Below are 8,094 nucleotides of genomic sequence, written 5' to 3'. Positions count from 1 at the left end.
TAGCAGCCACTGCCTTTCTACATTTCAATGCCTGGGGAGCCTCCAAGTAATTTCTTTTGGTTACTCTATGCTCTACTTACAGGAAGGTCCATAGGTTAGAGATGGTGGGTGTGTACAGAGTCATTTTATGGCCCAGGCTCCTCAGAATTTAAATCCATTCTGCCAACTCACATGTAGCTATTAAAACTATTTTTTAAATTTGGCTGGTTTCTCCATACCCTTGTTGCAGGGGGATGACTCCTGATGAAAGGAGGTTATATGTATTGTTTCCAAGAAAAGACTCATCACCATCTGGATTTTAATCTATTTTGCCTTCTATGCATTTTTACTTCTAATTATAATTTTTAAAATCTTTAATGTGGTTTTGTATGTAGCTTATTCAGCTGTACCTCATTGTTATTGTGAGAATGACAGTCTCTTAGACTACATCCTAAGCAGTGGGAGAAGCCTGTTTGGTTATTTTTGATGAAATATCAGACATTGTAAAAGAAAATTTGTAGTTTAAGGTTTTATGCAATTTATATGAACTTATGTTATAAATTAAACTGCAAACTTTCTGGTTCCTCCAGGTCATAGTGAGCATAATTATATATACACACACATATATATACATATATACATATAGTTATATAATGTATATAACTATATATAACTATATGTAAATATATATAAAATATATTATTTATATATAATATATAAATAATATATAATAAATATATAAATATATAAATATAAATATATATAAAATATATGTAAATATATAGTTATATACATTATATATCTATAACTTACATATATAGTTCAATAGAAAATTATTGAACTTATAGTTCAATAGTTTTCTTTTGGAAATGAAGTCAGTATTTTCCTCTTTTTCTGCTAAAATCCTATGTACTTACTACAATACACCAAGTAGTTTGTAACAAACCAAACAATAGTCCCAAAAGCTGCTCTGTAACAATAATAGCACAGGTGAAAATTATAGGAGTACACTACACACTCTGTCTCCTCTTTGTAGCGTTTAAGTGCAGCTTAGCAGAACAGTCTCCAAAAAGCTCTACGTAAACTAAATTGGTTTAACTTCTTTTCAGTTTTAACCACCTTACCCATAGGGACATTTTATCCTCAAGTATCTTGTTCATAGCTCTGTAAGTCTTAACATACACTAAAAAAATACAGATTATTCCAAACTTTGCAGTAAATTCTTATTGAAACTCAGTTTTTTTCCACATGAAAATTATGTTTGTTAAAATGCACATTATGATTCTGCTACTGGAAAAGGGTCACAATCCAGACCCCAAAAGAGGGTTCTTGGATCTCATAAAAGAAAGAATTCGAGGTGAATCCATAGAGTAAAGTGAAAACAAGTCTATTAGGAAAATAAAGGAATAAAGCATGGCTACTCCATAGGCAGAGCAGCTCCAAGGCCTGCTGGTTGGCTATTTTTATGGTTATTTCTTGATTAGATGCAAACAAGGGGTGGATTATTCATGAGTTTTCTGGGAAAGGGTTGGGCAATTCTCAGAAATGAAGGTTCCTCCTCTTTCAGATCATATAGGGTAACTCTCTGATGTTGCCATGGCATCTGTAAATTGTCATGGCTCTGGTGGGGAGTATCTTTTAGCATGCGAATGTATTGTAATTAACATATGGGCAGTGAGGGTGACCATCAGGGATCGCTTTCATTGCCATCTTGGTTTTGGTGGATTTTGGCTGGCTTCTTTACTGCATCCTTTTATCAGCAAGGTCTTTGTGACCTGCATCTTGTGCTGACCTCCTATTTCATCCTGTGACTTGGAATGCTGTGATGGTTAATACTAAACATCAACTTGATTGGATTGAAGGATACAAAGTATTGATCCTGGGTGTGTCTGTGAGGGTGTTTCCAAAGGAGATTAATATTTGAGTCAGTGGACTGGGAGAGGCAGACCCACCCTTAATCTGGGTGGGCACAATCTAATCAGTTGCCAGTGTGGCTAGAATATAAGCAGGCAGAAAAGTATGAAAGAGAGACTGACCTAGCCTCCCAGCCTGCAACGTTCTCCTGTGCTGGATGCTTCCTTCCCTTGAACATTGGACTCCAAGTTCTTCAGTTTCAGAACTTGGACTGGCTCTCTTTGTTCCTCAGCCTGCAGACAGCCTACTGTGGGACCTTGTGATCATGTGAGTTAATACTTAATAAACTCCCATATATAAATATATATATATATACACACACACACATATATATGTATGTATGTATAAAGGAATATATATATATTCCGTTATTTATGTTCCTCTAGAGAACCCTGACTAATACAGATTTTGGTACCAGGAGTGGTTCTAGAGGAACAGAATATTAAGAATGGATTTTTTTCAGTGGTTTTGAGGTTTCTGGAGTTGGCTGCTTAATATGATTAGACAAAAATTGCAAAGGACTCTCTTTCTAATGGTATGGAGAACACTAATAGTCCTTGGCATGAACTGTTCAGAGAGTTATGCAAAATAAATGCATTTGACACTTCTGATTCATCACTCCTGAGAGGCAAGGAGTTTAGTGACTCTATATATAATACCTTTGATCATGTGTGGAGAACCAAGGAACATAATGAAGCTGGTTGGTTGCTCCTAAGTTCAGCAGACAAAGTGATGAAAGAAAATGATGAATTCTATCTCCCAGCTTCAGAAGCAGATAGTGAGCCTCAAATCTGCTAAGATTGCCCTGAGTGAGAGTCTTATATCCTGTAGAGAAAGAGCTGAAGTTTTGGGAAAACATACATAAGCTCTTATCATGTGGGTGGCTGACCTGCAATGAAAGGTGCATGCACAGCCTCACCAGGTGTCTACTGTTAAAGTGAGGGCATTGATTGGAAAAGAAAGGGACCCTGCAACTTGGAATGGGGGCATGTGGGAAAACTATGATGAAGCTGGGGACACTGAGTTTGTAAGGTCTGATTAACCTTTTTTGCCAGAAGAAACAGCTTCCCGATCCCCGGTAGTAGCAACATCCTCTCCCCAACCCATGCTGCCCTCAGCCTTTCCACATTTGAGGAGATAAACCCTGCGCTGCCTGAGGCAACAGTGATGGCCTTCCCTGAGGCAGTTGCCAGGCCAGATAATGTTGATTCTCCTCAGAAGCCACCTCCAACACCCCTGTTTGCTTCTAGGCCTATAACTAGACTAAAGTCTTGGTGGGCCCCCAGAGATGAGGTTGAGAGTGTGACCCATGAGGAGGAGCACTACAATCGAAAGGAACTGCTTGAGTTTTCTAATTTATATAAACAGAAATCTGGAGAACAGGCATGGGAATGGATATTAAGGGAGTGGGATAATGGTGGAAGGAATATAGAGTTGGATCAGGCTGAATTTATTGATTTGGGCCCACTAAGGAGGGAGTCTGCATTTAATGTTGCAGCTTGGGGAGTTAAAAAAGATTCAATTACTTTATTTGCTTGGTTAGCTGAAATATGGATTAAAAGCTGGTCCACTGTGAGCAAGCCAGAAATGTCCAATCTCCCTGTTTAATGTAGAGGAAGGGACCAAAGGCTTAGGGAGATTGAGATGGTGGAGTAGATTAGTCCAGAAGATATACTCTTGACTAATGCCTTTTGAAATAGACTTGTGAGGGCAGCACCTGCATCTTTGAAGAGACCTGTAATTGCTCTTCTCTGTATGTCAGATTTAACAGTGGAAACTGCAGTCACTCAACTACAAAATTTAAATACAATGGGAATAATTGGATCTCGAGGTTGCAGGGGCCAAGTGGCAGCATCCAAACATCACAGGCAGAGTGAGTGTAGTTACCGTAATGGACAGCAGAAGTAAAGCGGCAGTCAAAATAGTCTGACATGTAGAGCTCTGGCATTGGCTAATTAATCATGGTATTTCTAGAAGTGAAATTGATAGGAAGCCTACTGCATTCTTACTTAATTTATACAAGCAGAAAACTTCAGGTTGAATGGACAGAAAACTAATTTGAATTATAAACACAGAGAATTATGGCCCCTCAATCAATTTCCAGACTTGAACCAGTTTACAGACCCAGAACCCTTTGAATGAAGGGGAGGCTGGGTCCCCTTGAGGAAGGATCCCACTACACTACCAACAATTTATATAGTGAATCTTTCTCCCATCCTTCCCCAGGGAGACCTCCAGCCTTTTGCCAGGGTAACTGTGCACTGGGGAAAGGGAAATAATCAGACATTTGAGGGACTACTGGACACTTGCTCTGAGCTGACGTTGATTTCTGGGGACCCAAAACGTCATTGTGGTCCTCCAGCTAAAGTAGGGGCTTATGGAGGTCAGGTAATTAATGAAGGTTTAGCTTAAGTCAGATTTGCAGTGCGTCCAGTGGGTCCCTGGACTCATTCTGTGGTCATTTCCCCAGAGCCAGAGTGCATAATTGGCATAGACATACATAGCAGCTGGCAGAACACTTACATTGGCTCCCTGATTGGTAGGGTGAGGGCTATTATGGTAGGAAAGGCCAAATGGAAGCCATTAGAGTGCCTCTACCTAGAAAAATGGTAAATCAAAAACAATGTCACATCCCTGGAGGGACTGCAGCGATTAGTGCCACCAAAAAGGACTTGAAAGATGCAGGGGTGGTGATTCCCACCACATCCCCATTCAACTCCCCCATTTGCCCTGTGCAGAAGACAGATGGATCTTGGAGAATGACACTGGACTATCGTAAGCTTAACCAAGTGGTGACTCCAAATCCAGCTGCTGTACCAGATGTGGTTTCATTGCTTGAGCAAATTAACACATCTTCTGGTACCTGGTATGCAGCCATTGACTTGGCAAATGCCTTTTCCTCCATTGCTGTCCATAAGGCCCAGCAGAAGCAATTTGCCTTCCACTAGCAAGGCCAGCAATGTATCTTTATTGTCCTACCTCAGGGGTATATCAACTCTCCAGCTTTGTGTCATAATCTTATTCAGAGAGAACTTGATCGCTTTTCGCTTCCACAAGATATCACACTGGTCCATTACACTGATGACATTATGCTGATTGGATCCAGTGAGCAAGAAGTAGCAAAACACACTGAACTTATTGGTGAGATATTTGCGTGCCACAGAATGGGAAATAAATCTGGCTAAAATTCAGGGACCTTCTACTTCTGTAAAATTTCTGGGGGTCCAGTGTTGTGGGACCTGTTGAAATACTCCTTCTAAGGTAAAGGATAAGTTGCTGTATTTGGCCCTTCCTACAACCAAGAAAGAGGCGCAATGCCTAGTGGGCCTATTTGGATTTTGGAGGCAACACGTGTATTCCTCATTTGGGTGTATTACTCTGGCCCATTTATCGAGTGACCCAAAGGCTGCCAGTTTTGAGTGGGGTCCAGAAAAGGAGAAGGATCTGCAACAGGTCCATGTTGCTCTGCAAGCTGCTCTGCCACTTGGGACATATGACCCAGCAGATCCAATGGTGCTTGAAGTGTCAGTGGCAGATAGGGATGCTGTTTGGAGCTTTTGGCAGCCTCCCATAGGTGAATCACGGGAGGCCTCTAGGATTTTGGAGCAAGGCCCTGCCATCTTCTACAGATAACCATTCTCCTTTTGGGAGACAGCTCTTAGGCTGTTACACTGGGCTTTGGTGGAAACTGAACGTTTGACTATGAGTCACCAAGTCACCATGCGACCTGAACTGCCTATCATGAACTGGGTGCTTTCTGATCCATCTAGCCATAAAGTGGGTTGTGCACAGCAGCATTCCATTATCAAATGGAAGTGGTATATACATGATCAGGCTCGAGCAGGTTCTGAAGGCATGAGTAACTTACATGGAATAACTTACATGAGGAAGTGGCTGAAATGCCCATGGTCTCCACTCCTGCCTTCTCTCCTCCAGCCTGCAGTGATGGCCTCATGGGGAATTCCCTATGATCAGTTGACAGAGGAAGAGAAGACTAGGGCCTGGTTCACAGATGCTTCTGCATGACATGCAGGCACCACACAAAAGTGGACAGCTGCAGCACTACAGCCCCTTTCCAGGACATCCCTGAAGAAGGACAGCAGTGAAGGGAAATCTTCCCAGTGGGCAGAACTTTGAGTAGTGCACCTGGTTGTGCCCTTTCCACGGAAGGAGAAATGTCCAGATGTGCAATTATATACTAATTCATGGGTTGTAGCCAAGGTTTGGCTAGATGGTCAGGGGCTTGGAAGAAGCATGATTGGAAAATTGGTGACAAAGAAATATGGGGAACGGGTATGTGGATGGACCTCTCTGAGTGGTCAAAAACTGTGAAGATATTTGTGTTTCATGTGAGTGCTCACTAACAGGTGACCTCAGCAGAGGAGGATCTTAATAATCAAGTGGATAGGATGACCTGTTCCCAGGCCACCCCTGTCATCACCCAGTGGGCCCATGAACAGAGTGGCTGTGGTGGCAGGGATGGAAGTTATGTATGGGCTCAGCAACATGGACTTCCACTCACCAAGGCTGACTTGGATATGGGCACTGCTGAGTGCCCAGTTTGCCAGCAGCAGAGACCAATGTTGAGCCTTCAATATGGCACCATTCCTTGGGGTGATCAGCCAGCTACCTGGTGGCAGATTGATTGTATTGGATCTCTTCCATCAAGGAAATGGAAGAGGTTTGTCCCTACTGGAATAAACGCTTACTCCGGATATGGGTTTCCCTATCCTGCATGGAATGCTTCTGCCAAGACTACCATCTGTGAACTCATGGAATGCCTTATCCACCATCATGATATTCCACACAACATTGCCTCTGACCAAGGCACTCACTTTATGGCTAAAGAAGTGCGTCAGTGGTCTCATGCTTAGGGAATTCACTGGTCTTACCATGTTTCCCATCATACTGAAGCAGCTGGATTGATAGAACGGTGGAATGGCCTTTCGAAATCACAATTACACTGCTAACTAGGTGACGATACTTTGCAGGGCTGGGGCAAGTTTCTCCAGAAGGCCTTGGATGCTCTGAATCAGTGTCCAATATTTGGTACTGTTTCTCCAATAGTCAAAAATCAGGGGTCCAGGAACAAAGGGGTGGAAACGGCTCCACTCACCATCACCCCTAGTGACCACTAGCAAAATGTTTGCTTCCTTTTCCCACAACATTACAGTCTGCTGGCCTAGAGGTCTTAGTTCTGGAGGGAGGAAAGCTGCCACCAGGAGACACAACAATGATTCCATTAAACTGGAAGTTAAGATTGCCACCTGGACACTTTGGGCTCCTCCAACCTTTAAGTCAGACTTAAGGCTAAGTAGAGGGTAACAGTGTTGTCTGGGGTGATTGACCCAGACTATCAAGATGAAATCAGTCTACTACTCCACAATGGAGGTAAGGAAGAGCATGTATGGAATACAGGAGATCTATTAGGGCATCTCTTAGTATTACCATGTGCTGTGATTAAGGTCAATGGGAAACTACAACAGCCCAATCCAGGGAGGACTACAAATGGTCCAGACCCTTCAGGAATGAAGGTTTGGGTCACTCCACCAGGAAAAAAAACCATGACCTGCTGAGGTGCTTGCTGACAGCAAAGGGAATACAGAATGCGTAGTAGAAGAAGGTAGTCATCAATACCAGCTATGACCTCGTGACCAGGTGCAGAAATGAGGACTGCAATTGTCATGAATATTTTCTCCTTTGGTTCAAAACGTGTTTGTGCATGTATACACTTGTACTAAGAAAATATCTTCTTTTTATTTCCTTTCTTCTTTATCATTTGACATACATTTATTGACTTCACATCAGCATTTAAGTATTGTTAACTTTACGTAATAGTATTTGGGTTGGGGATTGGTGCATTTCCGGTTATATGAAGGATAGTTGTACTATGTTAGGTGCAATTATAACCTTATTATTCTCTTTATTTGAAGATTATGATCTCAGGAGATGTGTATGGGTTCAAGTTGACAAGGGGTGGACTTTTGATGGATAAAACTGAATGGCAACTTGATTGGATTGAAGGATGCAAAGTATTGATCCTGGGTTTGTCTGTGAGGGTGTTGCCAAAGGAGATTAACATTTGAGTTAGTGGGCTGGGAAAGGCAGACCCACCCTTAATCTGGGTAGACACAATGTAATCAGCTGCCAGTGCAGCTAGAATATAAGCAGGCAGAAAAATGTGAAAAGAGAGACAGGCCT

The sequence above is a fragment of the Homo sapiens genome, chromosome 18, assembly GCF_000001405.40.
Source record: "Homo sapiens chromosome 18, GRCh38.p14 Primary Assembly".
NCBI classification, from domain to species: Eukaryota; Metazoa; Chordata; class Mammalia; order Primates; family Hominidae; genus Homo; species Homo sapiens.
This window is presented reverse-complemented; position numbering follows the sequence as displayed.